This window comes from Homo sapiens, chromosome 5 (assembly GCF_000001405.40).
Source record: "Homo sapiens chromosome 5, GRCh38.p14 Primary Assembly".
Lineage (NCBI taxonomy): Eukaryota > Metazoa > Chordata > Mammalia > Primates > Hominidae > Homo > Homo sapiens.
Genome location: NC_000005.10, coordinates 45,646,002 through 45,667,031, shown reverse-complemented (window position 1 = coordinate 45,667,031; position 21,030 = coordinate 45,646,002). Strand labels below are relative to the sequence as shown.

At 36.7% G+C, this 21,030-nt stretch overlaps 1 protein-coding gene across 1 annotated transcript in view; it reads left to right on the top strand.

Moving 5' to 3' along the window:
• Positions 1 to 21,030, top strand: part of HCN1 (hyperpolarization activated cyclic nucleotide gated potassium channel 1) — a 441,433-nt gene that overhangs the window by 29,349 nt on the left and 391,054 nt on the right. The window lies entirely within an intron of this gene.

The following is a 21,030-nucleotide window of genomic DNA, read 5'->3' as shown; positions in this document are numbered from 1 at the left end:
GAATATGTCATGTTTTTTCATAGCTTTAATCTAGCCAAGTTTTAGATATTTCACTTTTTAAATCTTCTCTTAGACATTAGGCTTTCCATTTCCTTAATCATTCCCACCCCCCTGATTTTTTCTGGATATCTTCCAATTTGTCTGCATTTTCATGATATTGAGGTGCCCCAAACAATAAAATATTCAAGGAACAGACACATATAGACTGATTCTATGATGCAGTGTCTTTATTTATTAAAGCTGTGGTATTTATCCACTCATTTATTCAATTTATTTAGGGAGTTCACTGTAGTTGCATACACTGTGTTAGATAGACAATGGTGATATAATATAATGGGAAGTAGAGATAGATGTGATCCCTGGCCATGTTACATTTACTGTAGTTGGAGAAATAAACCTTTAAAAACAATTATCCACATACATACAAAAATACAAAATATTTTATGTATATGAAGGAAAAGACATGATTCAGGGAATGTATTACTAGGCCACCTGACCAAGTCTGAGAGTAATTTCTTCAGTCTATGAATGCTCATTTGGGTTTATTATGTACATATTGTGGTTGTGGCCTTTCTTTATATGTAACAGAACAATGACACGGTTGTTGCCTAATATAGAAGTATCAAGGGGTAGCTTATGAGAATTTATGCCCAAACAAATGTTTTTGTAATCTTATGTGAAGTATGAATAAATATCTTTAGGACACATTGCTATGTTTCATTGACTAGTAATTTAAACTCTAAGCAAAAACAGCATGCTGGCTAAGGAAACAGTTTTACTTCAAATCCTCCTAAACTACTTTTTTATATTCCCGGTTTGCCACCCCCTCATTTTCACCTAAATAGATATTCTAGAGGCACCACTACTTGTCCTGGGATTAGATTTAACACATTCTAAGATTCATAGGCTACACAAGTTCAGCAGAAAGAGTACAATGACTGTGGCTCAGAGACCGTGGGATTATGCTGGAGGAGTTGGTAAGCTCAATTGGGCATGGAGAATGTCAAGAAGAGAACTTGGGGGGAGAGTATTACAAGTACTTACAGGGAGCGGTTGTGCAGAAGACATTTTAAAAAGGAGGTGTGAAGCTGAGTAAATAGACTAGCTTGTCTAAAGCTCCTTGATCAGGTTGAGGATTAGTGAGAGAAAAGGTCAGAGAAATTAGAGAGATTAGGTAGAAATGTAAATTAAGACATTTACATCAATTTTAAATTGCCAAGAGTTTTGGCACAGTTTAATTCTCATAAACATATTCTATAGGTTGGTATTTCTCTTTTAATCTTTTCTGTTATGTGACACCATATGGGTTTTGAAATAATGACTTTTGAGTTAGTAATCTGCAAACACAACAAAATTATTATTTTAAGAATTGCTATTTTTGATGCATTTATAAGATCCATTCTTGAGTCTTTACTTTTTTTTCCAAGTATCTCTCTGGTACCAAAAAGAGTCTGAGAATTTATTTCTTCACAAGTTTTCTGTTTTTGTTGTTTGCTTTTTAAGCTGTTGAAGAAACCAGATACACAGCCTGTCACTTAAATTACCCAAAGGTAAAAGCCATATCTTTTTTTTATTTTATTATTATTATACTTTAAGTTTTAGGGTACATGTGCACAATGTGCAGGTTAGTTACATATGTATACATGTGCCATGCTGGTGTGCTGCACCCATTAACTCGTCATTTAGCATTAGGTATATCTCCTAATGCTATCCCTCCCCCCTCCCCCCACCCCACAACAGTCCCCAGAGTGTGATGTGCCCCTTCCTGTGTCCATGTGTTCTCATTGTTCAATTCCCACCTATGAGTGAGAACATGTGGTGTTTGGTTTTTAGTCCTTGCGATAGTTTACTGAGAATGATGATTTCCAATTTCATCCATGTCCCTACAAAGTACATGAACTCATCATTTTTTATGGCTACATAGTATTCCACGGTGAATATGTGCCACATTTTCTTAATCCAGTCTATCATTGTTGGACATTTGGGTTGGTTCCAAGTCTTTGCTATTGTGAATAGTGCCACAATAGCATACGTGTGCATGTGTCTTTATAGCAGCATGATTTATAGTCCTTTGGGTATATACCCAGTAATGGGTTAGCTGGGTCAAATGGTATTTCTAGTTCTAGATGCCTGAGGAATCGCCACACTGACTTCCACAATGGTTGAACTAGTTTACAGTCCCACCAACAGTGTAAAAGTGTTCCTATTTCTCCACATCCTCTCCAGCACCTGTTGTTTCCTGACTTTTTAATGATTGCCATTCTAACTAGTGTGAGATGGTATCTCAGTGTGGTTTTGATTTGCATTTCTCTGATGGCCAGTGATGGTGAGCATTTTTTCATGTGTTTTTTGGCTGCATAAATGTCTTCTTTTGAGAAGTGTCTGTTCATGTCCTTTGCCCACTATTTGATGGGGTTGTTTGTTTTTTTCTCATAAATTTGTTTGAGTTCATTGTAGATTCTGGATATTAGCCCTTTGTCAGATGAGTAGGTTGTGAAAATTTTCTCCCATTTTGTAGGTTGCTTGTTCACTCTGATGGTAGTTTCTTTTTTTTTTTTTCTTTTTTTTATTATTATTATACTTTAAGTTTTAGGGTACATGTGCACATTGTGCAGGTTAGTTACATATGTATACATGTGCCATGCTGGTGCGCTGCACCCACTAACGTGTCATCTAGCATTAGGTATATCTCCCAATGCTATCCCTCCCCCTCCCCCGACCCCACCACAGTCCCCAGAGTGTGATATTCCCCTTCCTGTGTCCATGTGATCTCATTGTTCAATTCCCACCTATGAGTGAGAATATGCGGTGTTTGGTTTTTTGTTCTTGCGATAGTTTACTGAGAATGATGGTTTCCAATTTCATCCATGTCCCTACAAAGGACATGAACTCATCATTTTTTATGGCTGCATAGTATTCCATGGTGTATATGTGCCACATTTTCTTAATCCAGTCTATCATTGTTGGACATTTGGGTTGGTTCCAAGTCTTTGCTATTGTGAATAATGCCGCAATAGACATACGTGTGCATGTGTCTTTATAGCAGCATGATTTATAGTCATTTGGGTATATACCCAGTAATGGGATGGCTGGGTCAAATGGTATTTCTAGTTCTAGATCCCTGAGGAATCGCCACACTGACTTCCACAATGGTTGAACTAGTTTACAGTCCCACCAACAGTGTGAAAGTGTTCCTATTTCTCCACATCCTCTCCAGCACCTGTTGTTTCCTGACTTTTTAATGATTGCCATTCTAACTGGTGTGAGATGATACCTCATAGTGGTTTTGATTTGCATTTCTCTGATGGCCAGTGATGATGAGCATTTTTTCATGTGTTTTTTGGCTGCATAAATGTCTTCTCTTGAGAAGTGTCTGTTCATGTCCTTCACCCACTTTTTGATGGGGTTGTTTGTTTTTTTCTTGTAAATTTGTTTGAGTTCATTGTAGATTCTGGATATTAGCCCTTTGTCAGATGAGTAGGTTGCGAAAATTTTCTCCCATGTTGTAGGTTGCCTGTTCACTCTGATGGTAGTTTCTTTTGCTGTGCAGAAGCTCTTTAGTTTAATTAGATCCCATTTGTCAATTTTGTCTTTTGTTGCCATTGCTTTTGGTGTTTTGGACATGAAGTCCTTGCCCACGCCTATGTCCTGAATGGTAATGTCTAGGTTTTCTTCTAGGGTTTTTATGGTTTTAGGTCTAACGTTTAAATCTTTAATCCATCTTGAATTGATTTTTGTATAAGGTGTAAGAAAGGGATCCAGTTTCAGCTTTCTACATATGGCTAGCCAGTTTTCCCAGCACCATTTATTAAATAGGGAATCCTTTCCCCATTGCTTGTTTTTCTCAGGTTTGTCAAAGATCAGATAGTTGTAGATATGCGGCATTATTTCTGAGGGCTCTGTTCTGTTCCATTCATCTATATCTCTGTTTTGGTACCAGTACCATGCTGTTTTGGTTACTGTAGCCTTGTAATATAGTTTGAAGTCAGGTAGTGTGATGCCTCCAGCTTTGTTCTTTTGGCTTAGGATTGACTTGGCGATGCGGGCTCTTTTTTGGTTCCATATGAACTTTAAAGTAGTTTTTTCCAATTCTGTGAAGAAAGTCATTGGTAGCTTGATGGGGATGGCATTGAATCTGTAAATTACCTTGGGCAGTATGGCCATTTTCACAATATTGATTCTTCCTACCCATGAGCATGGAATGTTCTTCCATTTGTTTGTGTCCTCTTTTATTTCCTTGAGCAGTGGTTTGTAGTTCTCCTTGAAGAGGTCCTTCACATCCCTTGTAAGTTGGATTCCTAGGTATTTTATTCTCTTTGAAGCAATTGTGAATGGGAGTTCACTCATGATTTGGCTCTCTGTTTGTCTGTTGTTGGTGTATAAGAATGCTTGTGATTTTTGTACATTGATTTTGTATCCTGAGACTTTGCTGAAGTTGCTTATCAGCTTAAGGAGATTTTGGGCTGAGACGATGGGGTTTTCTAGATAAACAATCATGTCGTCTGCAAACAGGGACAATTTGACTTCCTCTTTTCCTAATTGAATACCCTTTATTTCCTTCTCCTGCCTGATTGCCCTGGCCAGAACTTCCAACACTATGTTGAATAGGAGCGGTGAGAGAGGGCATCCCTGTCTTGTGCCAGTTTTCAAAGGGAATGCTTCCAGTTTTTGCCCATTCAGTATGATATTGGCTGTGGGTTTGTCATAGATAGCTCTTATTATTTTGAAATACGTCCCATCAATACCTAATTTATTGAGAGTTTTTAGCATGAAGGGTTGTTGAATTTTGTCAAAGGCTTTTTCTGCATCTATTGAGATAATCATGTGGTTTTTGTCTTTGGCTCTGTTTATATGCTGGATTACATTTATTGATTTGCATATATTGAACCAGCCTTGCATCCCAGGGATGAAGCCCACTTGATCATGGTGGATAAGCTTTTTGATGTGCTGCTGGATTCGTTTTGCCAGTATTTTATTGAGGATTTTTGCATCAATGTTCATCAAGGATATTGGTCTAAAATTCTCTTTTTTGGTTGTGTCTCTGCCCGGCTTTGGTATCAGAATGATGCTGGCCTCATAAAATGAGTTAGGGAGGATTCCCTCTTTTTCTATTGATTGGAATAGTTTCAGAAGGAATGGTACCAGTTCCTCCTTGTACCTCTGGTAGAATTCGGCTGTGAATCCATCTGGTCCTGGACTCTTTTTGGTTGGTAAACTATTGATTATTGCCACAATTTCAGAGCCTGTTATTGGTCTATTCAGAGATTCAACTTCTTCCTGGTCTAGTCTTGGGAGAGTGTATGTGTCGAGGAATGTATCCATTTCTTCTAGATTTTCTAGTTTATTTGCGTAGAGGTGTTTGTAGTATTCTCTGATGGTAGTTTGTATTTCTGTGGGATCGGTGGTGATATCCCCTTTATCATTTTTTATTGTGTCTATTTGATTCTTCTCTCTTTTTTTCTTTATTAGTCTTGCTAGCGGTCTATCAATTTTGTTGATCCTTTCAAAAAACCAGCTCCTGGATTCATTGATTTTTTGAAGGGTTTTTTGTGTCTCTATTTCCTTCAGTTCTGCTCTGATTTTAGTTATTTCTTGCCTTCTGCTAGCATTTGAATGTGTTTGCTCTTGCTTTTCTAGTTCTTTTAATTGTGATGTTAGGGTGTCGATTTTGGATCTTTCCTGCTTTCTCTTGTAGGCATTTAGTGCTATAAATTTCCCTCTACACACTGCTTTGAATGCGTCCCAGAGATTCTGGTATGTGGTGTCTTTGTTCTCGTTGGTTTCAAAGAACATCTTTATTTCTGCCTTCATTTCGTTATGTACCCAGTAGTCATTCAGGAGCAGGTTGTTCAGTTTCCATGTAGTTGAGCGGCTTTGAGTGAGATTCTTAATCCTGAGTTCTAGTTTGATTGCACCGTGGTCTGAGAGACAGTTTGTTATAATTTCTGTTCTTTTACATTTGCTGAGGAGAGCTTTACTTCCAACTATGTGGTCAATTTTGGAATAGGTGTGGTGTGGTGCTGAAAAAAATGTATATTCTGTTGATTTGGGGTGGAGAGTTCTGTAGATGTCTATTAGGTCCGCTTGGTGCAGAGCTGAGTTCAATTCCTGGGTATCCTTGTTGACTTTCTGTCTCGTTGATCTGTCTAATGTTGACAGTGGGGTGTTAAAGTCTCCCATTATTAATGTGTGGGAGTCTAAGTCTCTTTGTATGTCACTCAGGACTTGCTTTATGAATCTGGGTGCTCCTGTATTGGGTGCATAAATATTTAGGATAGTTAGCTCCTCTTGTTGAATTGATCCCTTTACCATTATGTAATGGCCTTCTTTGTCTCTTTTGATCTTTGTTGGTTTAAAGTCTGTTTTATCAGAGACTAGGATTGCAACCCCTGCCTTTTTTTGTTTTCCATTGGCTTGGTAGATCTTCTTCCATGCTTTTATTTTGAGCCTATGTGTGTCTCTGCACATGAGATGGGTTTCCTGAATACAGCACACTGATGGGTCTTGACTCTTTATCCAACTTGCCAGTCTGTGTTTTTTAATTGCAGAATTTAGTCCATTTATATTTAAAGTTAATATTGTTATGTGTGAATTTGATCCTGTCATTATGATGTTAGCTGGTGATTTTGCTCGTTAGTTGATGCAGTTTCTTCCTAGTCTCGATGGTCTTTACATTTTGGCATGATTTTGCAGCGGCTGGTACCGGTTGTTCCTTTCCATGTTTAGCGCTTCCTTCAGGAGCTCTTTTAGGGCAGGCCTGCTGGTGACAAAATCTCTCAGCATTTGCTTGTCTATAAAGTATTTTATTTCTCCTTCACTTATGAAGCTTAGTTTGGCTGGCTATGAAATTCTGGGTTGAAAATTCTTTTCTTTAAGAATGTTGAATATTGGCCCCCACTCTCTTCTGGCTTGTAGGGTTTCTGCCGAGAGATCCGCTGTTAGTCTGATGGGCTTTCCTTTGAGGGTAACCCGACCTTTCTCTCTGCTGCCCTTAACATTTTTTCCTTCATTTCAACTTTGGTGAATCTGACAATTATGTGTCTTGGAGTTTCTCTTCCCGAGGAGTATCTTTGTGGCGTTCTCTGTATTTCCTGAATCTGAACGTTGGCCTGCCTTGCTAGATTGGGGAAGTTCTCCTGGATAATATCCTGCAGAGTGTTTTCCAACTTGGTTCCATTCTCCACATCACTTTCAGGTACACCAATCAGACGTAGATTTGGTCTTTTCACATAGTCCCATATTTCTTGGAGGCTTTGCTCATTTCTTTTTATTCTTTTTTCTCTAAACTTCCCTTCTCGCTTCATTTCATTCATTTCATCTTCCATTGCTGATACCCTTTCTTCCAGTTGATTGCATCGGCTCCTGAGGCTTCTGCATTCTTCACGTAGTTCTCGAGCCTTGGTTTTCAGCTCCATCAGCTCCTTTAAGCACTTCTCTGTATTGGTTATTCTAGTTTTACATTCTTCTAATTTTTTTTCAAAGTTTTCAACTTCTTTGCCTTTGGTTTGAATGTCCTCCCGTAGCTCAGAGTAATTTGATCATCTGAAGCCTTCTTCTCTCAGCTCGTCAAAATCATTCTCCATCCAGCTTTGTTCCGTTGCTGGTGAGGAACTGCGTTCCTTTGGAGGAGGAGAGGCGCTCTGCGTTTTAGAGTTTCCAGTTTTTCTGTTCTGTTTTTTCCCCATCTTTGTGGTTTTATCTACTTTTGGTCTTTGATGATGTTGATGTACAGATGGGTTTTCGGTGTAGATGTCCTTTCTGGTTGTTAGTTTTCCTTCTAACAGACAGGACCCTCAGCTGCAGGTCTGTTAGAATACCCTGCCGTGTGAGGTGTCAGTGTGCCCCTGCTGGGGGGTGCCTCCCAGTTAGGCTGCTCGGGGGTCAGGGGTCAGGGACCCACTTGAGGAGGCAGTCTGCCCGTTCTCAGATCTCTAGCTGCGTGCTGGGAGAACCACTGGTCTCTTCAAAGCTGTCAGACAGGGACACTTAAGTCTGCAGAGGTTACTGCTGTCTTTTTGTTTGTCTGTGCCCTGCCCCCAGAGGTGGAGCCTACAGAGGCAGGCAGGCCTCCTTGAGCTGTGGTGGGCTCCACCCAGTTCGAGCTTCCCGGCTGCTTTGTTTACCTAAGCAAGCCTGGGCAATGGCGGGCGCCCCTCCCCCAGCCTCGTTGCCGCCTTGCAGTTTGATCTCAGACTGCTGTGCTAGCAATCAGCGAGATTCCGTGGGCGTAGGACCCTCTCAGCCAAGTGTGGGATATAGTCTCGTGGTGCGCCGTTTTTTAAGCCGGTCTGAAAAGTGCAATATTCGGGTGGGAGTGACCCGATTTTCCAGGTGCGTCCCTCACCCCTTTCTTTGACTCGGAAAGGGAACTCCCTGACCCCTTGCGCTTCCCAGGTGAGGCAATGCCTCGCCCTGCTTCGGCTCGCGCACGGTGCGCGCACACACTGGCCTGCGCCCACTGTCTGGCACTCCCTAGTGAGATGAACCCGTTACCTCAGATGGAAATGCAGAAATCACCCATCTTCTTCATCGCTCACGCTGGGAGCTGTAGACTGGAGCTGTTCCTATTCGGCCATCTTGGCTCCTCCCCCTCTGATGGTAGTTTCTTTTGCTATGCAGAAGCTCTTTAGTTTAATTAGATCCCATTTGTCAATTCTGACTTTCATTACCATTGCTTTTGGTGTTTTAGACATGAAGTCCTTGCCCATGCCTATGTCCTGAATGGTAATGCCTAGGTTTTCTTCTAGGGTTTTTATGGTTTTAGGTCTAACATTTAAGTCTTTAATCCATCTGGAATTAATTTTTGTGTAAGGTGTAAGGAAGGGATCCAGTTTCAGCTTTCTACATATGGCTAGCCAGTTTTCCCAGCACCATTTATTAAATAAGGAATCCTTTCCCCATTGCTTGTTTTTCTCAGGTTTGTCAAAGATCAGATAGTTGTAGATATGCGGCGTTATTTCTGAGGGCTCTGTTCTGTTCCATTGATCTATCTGTTTTGGTACCAGTACCATGCTGTTTTGGTTACTTGTAGCCTTGTAGTATAGTTTGAAGTCAGGTAGCATGATGCCTCCGGCTTTGTTCTTTTGGCTTAGGATTGACTTGGCGATGCAGGCTCTTTTTTGGTTCCATATGAACTTTAAAGTAGTTTTTTCCAATTCTGTGAAGAAAGTTATTGGTAGCTTGATGGGGATGGCATTGAATCTATAAATTACCTTGGGCAGTATGGCCATTTTCATGATATTGATTCTTCCTACCCATGAGCATGGAATGTTATTCCATTTCTTTGTATCCTCTTTTATTTCATTGAGCAGTGGTTTGTAGTTCTCCTTAAAGAGGTCCTTCACATCCCTTGTAAGTTGGATTCCTAGGTATTTTATTCTCTTTGAAGCAATTGTAAATGGGAGTTCACTCATGATTTAACTCTCTGGTAGAAGCCATATCTTTAAAAAGTGAGCCAAAATGTGCAAATTACAAAACCTTTTTGCAGAACTTAGTAAATTTATAAATAATTTAAAAATTTCCTCTAAGTTACTGGCCTACATAAAAAAAGCAAGTGCAACATCTGCCTACTAATGGGATTCTGTTATCTATTGAGCAACATCATATCATCCATATGTGTATTTTCTGTTGAAGCAAAAAAGATTTAATAAGTACCACTAAATTATGAAGGAAAGGATGAAAGAAGATAGGACAAAAACATTTCTTGTTATACCTATGCAGAAACATACATACATGAGTTCTTTGTGGGCACTGTAGTGAATTGGAGTGGATATTCATTGAATTCGTTTGTAAGTGATGGAAAATTTCTCACTATACTGGCAGTTCTGCTTAAAGTATGCTGTAGGATTGGTGTGAATTGCTCAGAAAATTAAAGAAACTCAGTCTTTAATTCTTTAATATTCCACAGCAAATGTTGGTCTGCCCACACACCCTCGATATTTGTTACAGACCTGGAAACATATGCTCCTGGTAGAATCATTTTCTTCCTTGACACATCACCCATTCTGCTCCATCAGATAATACGCAGCTGCCAGTGGGTGAAAACTTCAATGCAGTATAATATCAAATAACATCTTTAAACATACTGTTTTAGGGAAAAGAACATATACTAGATAGAAATGGCATTCTTATTTATCCCTGTAGGACACTAAATATGTAGAAATGAGTAGTATTTAACTTCAAAAATTTGTTGTTAACATAAATAAGTAGAGGTTGATTATTTTAGAAAATCATTTTGAAGGAAAAAGATATTATGAAATTTATAAACAGAACTTAACACTTTTTAAATTGAGATTTTATTTGATCACATTCTTGGCTGTCTTTGATCATGAGCCTACATTTTAATTGGGAAAGCAAAGACTTGAAAATATATTAGGAGCAAACTCTTGGGATAGCCTTGGATTTATTTTATATTATAACATCTAAAGCATTAGCTGAAAAAGTAAATATGCCACTAGACCTTTTAACTTTTATGCAATTTAATCCGTTTATCTCCACCTTGTTTCTAGTTCTCTTGGTATTCCTCCTGGCAACCCATGGACTAGCACTATGTTTGCTGCTCAATGAATGTTTGCAGTGTTGTCATGTACACAGAAGACTTGATCACTCTCCTTTGTGTCTTTTAGGACTGCCCTTTATAAAGCCTAACCTAGAACTTGTACTGTTTTATAAGACATTATTGATTTGTTCATGTTTTCTTGAGGATTAGGCTGTATCTAATTCTCTTTGGAGGCATAGTGGCAAGCCCAGGAAGCAGCACATATTTGTTGACAAATTAATATTTGTGCCATGCAACCCCCGGAACTCCTTAGCAAATGCTGTCTTTAAATTTCTTTAATACCAGAACTTACTTAAAAGGTGACCAATTGATTATCTCTTTTGGAAACCCAGAGTACCTATGGTGTGCAATTTACGAACATGTCTTAAATTCTCTTTTAGTCATATTTAACTTCTTCATATTAGGCAGATTAGGTCTTCATTTTTGAGGGGCTCCTTGAAGGCAGTATTTGCATATAGTTTGTGTATGCATTTCTCACAGTACTTAGAACAATACCTGCTGTGTACATATTTTTTGAAATTATTATAATGTAACTATTTGGAGAGAGTATTTGGTACTACATTTGACTCTTGCTTCCCAAGTGTTTTTTTGCATTTAGAGCATCTGAACTGACTTTGGTCAATGCACCAGTGAGATATCTTTGTGGGCTAAGGCAGAAATAATTCAGAAATCCCTTTTGAAATAGGTGATCTCATAGCTCCTCTGTTTAGAAGTTGCATGCTACTATATGGGCATAAGGACAAGGGAGCTATCACTTTGAGCCTCTGGGAATGTAGGCAAACTCTCAGTGGCTTCTATATCAAAAGACATAGAGACCAAAGGCCAGACATTGAGCTATACCTATAGCATCATAGCCTATGCCCCTTCTCTTGTGAAAAGAGTTGTGTAAACCACCTGCTCAGATAGGTGACTGATAAGAATAGGTGGAAGTATTGTCATTGCTTCTCTAATAAGTGTACGATTTTTAAAAAGACTTTTCTTAAATTCCTAAATTATTTATCTGAATATGGTGGAGAGAGTGCAAGTACAGAAATTGGTCTTGGGTTCAAAATCAATTTGTATAATTTTCTGATTACAAGAAATTAAGAAGCGTCCTAAACTAGATGATTTCGGTTTTCCTCTTTTCAAACTTAGACAAGGTTGTGTACCTCTTTGGTTGTTTGAGTATCAAACAAGACCATGTCTTTAAAGTGTCTATTAGCTAATAAATATTTTATTTATTAGTTAATACTTTATTTAACATTTAATACTTTATTGCCCTAATGCCGCCTCCTTAATATTCAGTAAGACAAATTGTTATATCCAGAAATCAGAATCATTAACACATTCCAAAGCTTCCATAAAACGTGAACATTTTAAAGACTGAAGGGCACAGTTACGTGTTTGATTTTGTGCTGTCCATCACACCTGCAAACTGGAACAATAATCCAAATGATATGTATGGCATTGGCATCTTATGTATTAATAAAGAGCATAAAGATTCTTTGACATCTGTAGAGTAACAAAAAACACAGGGAGGTGACTTATATTATCAGCAAGAGGAAAAATAAACTGGATGATTTGAAAATATGCAATGTGGTGGGAGGATTACAATAGCAATGAGGGAAAAATCTATCTGAAATTAAAACTCCAAACTTGAATAAACTTTAACTTAGCCATGTAATTAGACAGAAAATAATTCAATCACTATTTTCTTTTCATAATTTCACAGTGGTTAGATGAAAGTATATCAGTAAATATAAAACTGTCTGTAACTCACAGTCATTCAGTTGAGCTTCAAAATAAAATGTCTTCAATATATGTGTCATAGGACTATCTTATCGGTAAGATAACCAAATGTCAGTATTCTCTTTGTCCTTCTTTAGAAACAGCTAAAACATAGACCTCAGTTTACTGAATTGTATACTAGAGTGAATGGTACTAGAATACATTTTTGTTGAGAACGACATGACCACTGACAGTATTTTTGCTTTCCTTAAAGGAATAAATTGTCAAGAGTTAGAAGCAGGAAATAAAATTTAAAAACCACTCAGTGGTCCATCAAATGAAAATACTTAGAAGTTAAGGAGTAGTTTTAGATTAAACTTCTAGAAGAGCTCTAAATTTAAACACCAGGAGCTATTTTATACATTATTTCTAAATAATTTAAATTAAGGATTTTTTAAATGGAAAATCTACATGTCATTATAAAGATAGAATGCTACAGGATAGATGTTCTTAATACCCTGGGAGTTCTGCTCCGGTCTGTATCCTTTAATAAAAGCTATAGACTTACAGAAATATAATTCATGGGTTATATTTAGGGAGGAACAGATGTTTGGATTCTGCAAAGTGAAACTTGTGGCCTTCATTTGAAGTGATTTTGAATGATGCAATATAAGTCCCCTTGAAAGATATCTTTGTTCTTGTTGTCTAAAGCAAGAAGATTAAAATAGTTTATTAAAAACGTGCATCATAATTCTACCATTTGAGGAGAAATAAAGGCTTATACCTGATTAATTTTGAAATCATCCAAAAGAACAAATGATTATATTTATTTATTTATTTATTATTATTATACTTTTAAGTTTTAGGGTACATGTGCACAATGTGCAGGTTAGTTACATATGTATACATGTGACATGCTGGTGCGCTGCACCCACTAACTCGTCATCTAGCATTAGATATATCTCCCAATGCTATCCGTCCCCTCTCCCCCCACCCACAATAGTCCCCAGAGTGTGATGTTTCCCTTCCTGTGTCCATGTGTTCTCATTGTTCAAATCCCACCTATGGTCGTATTTATTTTTAACTAGAATTGTGTAATGCTATAATAAACCCTCATTAACACAGATACTAATTTGGAATTTGATCATTGGGAAATCAGCAGTATATATACTATTTGCTAGGCAATTTAAAATCATTAACGCAGATACTAATTTGGAATTTGATCATTGGGAAATCAGCAGTATATATACTATTTGCTAGGCAATTTAAGTATAAAGATGATTGGCATTTAATTTGGCTAGGAATAAGGGCTAAAACAGTATTTTTGGAGACTGTTTATTAAGCAGTCTTTATCAAATTATTGTTGACATCATATTATGGCAGAGTATTCACTGTTCAGTAGTAGATGTGCTCAGATGCTGAAAATCATGTAGAGAAATTACGATAGGCATTTGGGACAAGAGGAGATCAACTCCAACTGGGATAGAGATCAGGTGAAAGGGAGTTCTGTGAAGGAACTGGAATTTATTTGACTGTTGAAGTAATGTAAGGCAATGTAGAGGTTGAGTTTGGGTTTAGGAAAAGGAAATCCCAGTTGTCATTTTGGGGTGGGGGATGGCAAAGATGATGACTCTGAAAAAGAGTCTTTTTAATTTAGCTTGGGACTGTGTATGTGAAAAAATTCCAGGTACCGAATTGGGACATACTTAAGAGGATTTTGAGTGGTTACATTTCATTTTGTAAGCAATAGGAAAGTCTAGTGGATATAAATAGGAGGCAATTTACTAGGGCAGGTAGAAACAGGAAAATTAGAAAACATAATAATGATATAAGAACTTCATCCAGGATGATGACAATGGAACAAAATGAAAAGCTGAATTTGAAAAATATTGTATTAGGGAAGATATAGAGCTGGGCAAGTAATCAAATGCCAGAGCTGGGCAGAGAGAAGAGTCAGGGACATTTCTAAAGTTTTATGCATAGTGGATGGATGAAAGAAAAAAAGCTATGCTATAATAAACAGAAATAAAAATATCAGGTGAATTATTTTGAGACTAGAAGATTAATTAGTCTAGATTTAAGTCTGGTGAGATGACTATTCTATCAGGAAATTTGGAAGCCACTAACTATACAGGATATATAGTTATTTGTAACTATATATCCTGCATAGTTAGCAATGCCTAACTTCATAGTAGAGGTTAAAGCTAGTGATCGATTTGAGGACCATTTACCTTAACATATTAGTTAAACCTGTGGAGGTTGGAGAGGCTGAAGGAGAGAGTGAATAGAAGGAAGAAGAGTTGGGTAGAATTGAGTCATGTGTAATGTCCACATTGTTAATGGTAGAAGAGGAGTCAGATAAGAATTGAGAAAAATGAGTCTATGCTAATACAGAAATATGAGTGAGGAATTATTATAATGTAGAGTCATAGAAATCAAAGCTTTGGGAGAGTTTCAAGTAGGAGAGGTGAGCAGCTGTAGTTGTAAAATCCCACAAACAAGAGTATGTGAAGCAATATAAGATTTTTAATATTGACAGAAGGTTAACAAACAATAAAAAAATACAGTTTCAGGAGAAGGGGGAAATAGACAAAACATGTTTACTTTTGCTTGGATTGGTACACAACTTAATACTTTCATAGGTTTTAAATTTCTATTTCATTAGCTTAATTTAATAAACCATTTTCATGAGTAGCTAAAACAATGCACCACCCACCCATCTCATATTCTCATTGGATAAATTGCTAGTTTATTGGAAGACATCTAAATGCCTTTAAATATAGTCTAACTTTGTTTTATTCATTACTTAGGCTAAACTTTCCCTCAGATAGGATCATTTTGCAAGGGTTTACTATTTTAAGAAAGTTAGCATATTTCCACTCCAAATTGCCTATGTTTGAGTTGTCTGGATTTTTAAAATATATTTCCTTCCCACCCTCCATGGATAATAAATTTGGCCTTGTGAGACATCAAGGCATTAGACCAAGTAGCAAACCTGGCCAATGAAACTTTTTTGCGAAGTTTCTAAATACACATATTTTACAAAATATCTTTCCCAGTGTGAATCTTAGTATTAAGAGGATTGGGAAGAGGACCTAGCATTTAAGAGAAGGCACCTTATGCTAGTTTTCAAAACATATGTACCAAATCATCAGGCTATTAGATTTTAAAAATTGAATCAGTTTTAAATAAAATTTGGGACATGATTTTGAGGACTATTGTTGTTATAAAAATTAAATCTAGCTGGGTATTTATTTGCTTATTTATTTGTTTATTTATGCAGGTTGATAAGTTGTTATAAACATGCTCAATTCATGTTTCATATTTATAAAATAATTGATATCAAGAGGCCATTCTTCTAAATGCAATGGTCCAAACTTTTATATTGTGGCTAATGATGTTAATTAGTCTCCCAGAATACCACTAATTTTGAAACCAGTAACAGATCACAGAAGCAGCACACTATGGCTGTATATCAGCCAAAGAGGTGCTATATTTCATGAGAAGTTATCAAAAGCATTTATCTTTTGGGAATTCTATTTCTTTCTTTTAGAAGTGAATCTTAAGTGTGAGTTGAGGGGACAGATTTATGACATTATTTGACTTCAACTGTAGATAAAATAGGAGCGACTGTAAATCTGGTACCGTGTCAGGAAATTAACCATAAATATTTTTATTCAATTCTGCTCAATGACAAATATTTATTTCATCACAGAGAGGGGAGAAAAGAATTTTTCATTCAATATTTAGAGAAAATATTGTAAATACAAGCACCTTTAGTAGTAGTAAAGTATGACGATTATTTAAATCTCATTAAAGCTTTAGGTTAGAAATGTCTGACATCAGGCTGTTTCAAGTAGAGAAGATAACGTAAGCAACTGGGGCTGGGAAACCTTAAGAAGAGTGGGAAGTTCTTGTTAGGAACAAGGAGGAGTTCTCCTTACCACAAGCCTTAAAGGGTTGCATGTGGGTAGAGAAAAAAAAGTATGACTGAATTTGAAATTCTTCTTGATTTAGTATCATGGACTAATCTTTACAACGCCACTTTATCTCTTCTAGAAACCTATAGGGAGAAGATACACTCTACATAAAAAATAAGTGGCCTATGAAAATTATTTTATTAGTAGTTAATATTATACTTATTAGTGATAATATTTTATTTAGCCTATTCTATATATTTCCAGTGAAAAAGGTAAAATAGTTACCTAGATTATGATTTTGCTGTAATTATAAAGATCATTAGTTTTCCAGTGAGTGTCCTCTCTGCTTTGCTGGTATTTCAGAGAAAGGAAGTTTCTACGTAACAGTTTCTTTCTCCATCCCCTTCAGTTGATGGGGTTTTATTATAAGGAAGGAGAAATAAGTAAAGAGTCCTATCATTGTTGACGTTAGGCTTTGTGGAGAACTGGCACCTTATTCAGGATACCACAGAGATTCCAGTGTAAGATAGAATTCCGAAGCTATCATTTTTGTGTCGTGGCTTCTCTTCATACAGGTTCTATATGCTACACTTTGCATACACTATTGCATGTAGTCCTCACACAGAGTAACTCTAAGAGTAGTAGAAAAAAATGAAAGTTTATGGCAGCTAAATATCTTGCTCCAAATCATCCAGTTAGTGGAGCTAGGATTTTAACTCTGGTCTGCCTTCAAAGTCCAAGCAAGTTCTTTTACAAATACTTTTTCTCTGGGGCAGGATGAATAGAAGTAGGTAGATATATGATATGTAAAAACATCTCAAATACACAACTCTTTTGTTTTTTAGATATCTAACCTAAGAGCATATTTCTAACCTCTTTGTTTCCTATTTTATTTATTTTAACATATTCTGTTGTAAAAATGAAAACCCTTAATAAGTAAAATCCAGATCTATATGCAAGACAAATAAGAAATTATTATTTACTTTGTTAATGGCTCTTTGGCTTATTATAAAAGGTTTTCTTTAAATATCCCCCATTAAAGTGTATGTTTTCATTAAAAATCCAATTAATAAATATTCTTAACATTTGCTATCTTAGATGCTATCTATCTTATAGCAGAAAATATATAGAAGACAAGATACAGTTTTGAACTTTAAATAACTTGAATCAGTAATGATGGAAGAAACACATACAAATAGTAACAGAATCAAAAATAGGAAACATGTTGAGAATATATGCTGCTCTGAGGGTTGTAAAAAAAAAAACTAACAAATGAGGTGAAAGAAGGATGAATAGGAAAAGCACATGTGATTTTTAGGGCAGTGAAACTACTGGTGTATATACATGTCTCTATGTATTTGCCCAAACCATAGAATGTACACCAACAGTGAATCCTAATGTAAACTGTGGGCTCTGGTTGATAATGAGATGTCAGTGTAGGTTCATCATTTGTAACAATTTTTTTTTTATGGTGGGGGATGTTGATAATGGGGAGGGACTATATATGTGTAGGGGCAGGAGGTATATAAGAAATCTCTGTACACTCAGTTAAAGTTTTCCATGAACCTAAAACTACTCTAAAAATAAAGTCTACTAAAACAAAAATAAAACACACACTCACACACAAACAAACTAAGAAACTCATTGCCAGAATGGGATTTGAGGGAGAAGTAGAAAGGGATTTGAGGGGATTTGAGGGCTGTTAGGTAGAAAGATAGCTGGAATGGAAGTAATCATATCTCCTGTATGTGTACCCAGGTAGGCATGAGGGCAAAGCATGAGCAAGTGCCCTCTTGCCTGAGATATGGGATGCTTGTCCTCAGTTGTTAAAAGAGGGGGATGGAAAGGCAGGAGGAGGCCATATCCTGGAGTGCCTTGACAAACAGACTAAGTTGTTTTCGTTTAATTGAGAGAGTCAGTGCTGGTTGTTGACCTAGCAAATTGATTGTTAGGTAAGTTGCTTTGGGAGTGGTGGGACTTGATTAGAGAGAAGAGGCAGGAGACTCATGAGGAATTTCAAGCAGAAGGTGGCTCTGCCCAGACCAGAGAAATAAGAATGGAAGGAGGGGATAGATAGGAAAGATGATATGGTAATAAAATGTGCAAGACATAGAAACTGAGAGTTAAGGTAAAGAAGGAGCTTGGGTATCTAAGAGAAATTTTGAGAGTAAAGAGCTAGAAAGAAAGACTCATGGGCAATTAGGTAAGAGATTTTCATGAGGTCAATTTTTAAGAACCCATTTACTTTTTTTAAAGAAGGTATATTGCACTTCTAGAACAGGTGATGATTGTATTTTTTTGTTACCTAAGGAATGAATCCATGCTAACTAAAGACAATATTATGTAAGCATATAAAAGCACCTGTGGTTTTGTCTGCAAAATAGAGTCGATGTTACTTTAAAAGGATATTATGGGGTTTAACAGAGTTTCCTACTGGTATTGAGATATCTAATGGCTTCAGACCATATTAAGTATTGCTAGCAAAAAGCTATAGTGTGATAAGCATTATTACTGTAGTAAAGAATGAATGGTGCTTTCTTTTCATCTCTATTGCTCTGAGGGATGGGATATTAGTTTTCCTTCAAAAAAAGCTTCTATCTTAATTACAGAAATGCAAAGATGTCTGTAGAAATGAGTATTTTTCATTAGGTTGCTGGGTGCTTCCCACAAAATTGGATTTCTTGTGGTAAGTGAGGAAGGGTAAATGGGTAGTGACTAGGCCACTGGCATTGTGTGCCACAATTATATGCCAGGCCCTGGGATTAGCATATATCGTCTCGTTTAATCCATAAAACCCTGTATATTTGGCTCTGTAATAATCTTCTTTGAACAGGTTAGAAAATGTAAAATAAAATCATTTAATTGGCTTGTATTTAAATAAAACAGCTGGTAAGACTTTCTGAATGAGGACAGCTGCAGTGGGAATAGTAAAGTGCAAATGGATGAATACAACATACATTTAGGTGTGAGAACTAAACAGCCTTGGTGATCAATTGGATATGGGTTTGAGCAGATTTAGGGCCAGGAGTTATTTAGGATGGCTCCATGGTTTCTGGCTTGCAAATCACACATAGAGTTATTCCATTCCCTGAGATAGGGGATATGTGAGGAATATATGTGGGAGAGGAGATTATGAGTTTGAGCTTAGGCATGCTGTTTGAGATGAGTGTGAGATATGCCAGGAGAGAGATTTAACGGGCTACTGATTATGAGGATTAGGAGGCTTAGAAGATAGGAATGGACTGAAGATAAAGCTTTTGGGGTCATCAGTTACAAATTAATTATTAAAGGCATGGATAAGTGTATAATATTTCTCAAGGGCAATGCGTAGAATAGAAGATGAAAGGGCTATGTGTGACACCCAGGGGAACAACAGCCTTGAAGGGGAGGGCAGAGAGAGAAGCTTACAGAAGGGACTTGATAGGAGTGCCCAGAAGTGAAAAATCCTCAGGGTACACACAGTTTCATTTTAGAGTTTAGTGGTGCCATTTCTTTGTGAAATAGCTGTTACAATATTGCTCCTCCTCTACATCTCTCCTCTGTCCTTATTGTGTTGAATGGTATATTTTGCATTTCCATTGTGAGAAGATATAAAACCATTTCATTTAAACTGCCAGTACATGTTGTATGGCTGACATGGGTATTTGTACAGTTGTTTCAAAAATTGCAGGCAAGTTTTGACAGAAATACTGGTGAAATCTTCAAAATAACAAACGCTTATCCTTTACAACATCCTGAGGCTGGAGACAGGGGAGATAGGGCCTATTATAGTTTTTTCTTCAACTAGTACTTTTATTTCAGGAGTCATTCTTAATTACAGATGATAGTAACTTTGAAAGCTTTATACACATGTATACCTCACCAAAATGTAGCTCAAATAGTCTAAGTAGGAGTATTCATGTAAAACAAAAATATCTTGGTAAACAGACATTTTTATCATGGAAGTTTATATTGTTTATACAAAACTCCTCAAATAACATACCTATGACTAGGATAAAGTAACTCATGTTTCTGGATACATTTCATGATTATACAGTTGTGTTTATTTTTTCATTTTTGCAAGTATATACTGTAACAACTATAAATATTTGATTAATAGGAGTGTCAACAGACTGAAAGAACCCTTATAAAAATAACACTATAGTTATGTCAAGTGAATTTAGTTAATTTAGTTAAGCTATATAAACCAGCAATGAAGTTCCTGGTTTTCTCTCAATTTTAATGTAAGTTGAGATAAGAATATTTCAAAAGGTACTTAGTAGTCATAGGCATGTTCAGAATTAAATTAGAAATGTTAAAGATTTTTTTTTAGCTGGGCATGGTGGCACGCCTGTAATGCCAGCTACTCGGGAGGCTGAGGCGGGAGGAGAATCACTTGAACTTGGGAGGCGGAGGTTTCAGTGAGCTGAGATTGTGCCATTGTACTCCAACCTGGGCAACAAGAATGAAACTCCGTCTCAAAAAAAAAAAAAAAAAAAAGAAAGAAAGAAAGAATTTTTATGGAAAAGTAGTGGCAATATATTTGAAGTAGTTGTTCAATAGAGTAGTAATAAAAACACAAATTTTAGGTAGATTCTAGTTTCAAATATGGAGTAGAACTTGCTCAGTTCTTTTTAGCATCAGACCAAAATTAGTTTTCTTATTTCAAGCAAAAGAAAAATAAAGCATAAAATATTTGGAGTACTGCAAAACTCCAGTGTATTCTAGATTCCATGGCAAAACTAATCTGTATTCCTTGAGATAAATTTGCATAACTAAAATTGTTAGAGTATCCTATTTATTTCTGGGTTTTTTTTTCTAATCTATGATTGGTAAATTGACATCTAAAATAATTCAAAACATCTT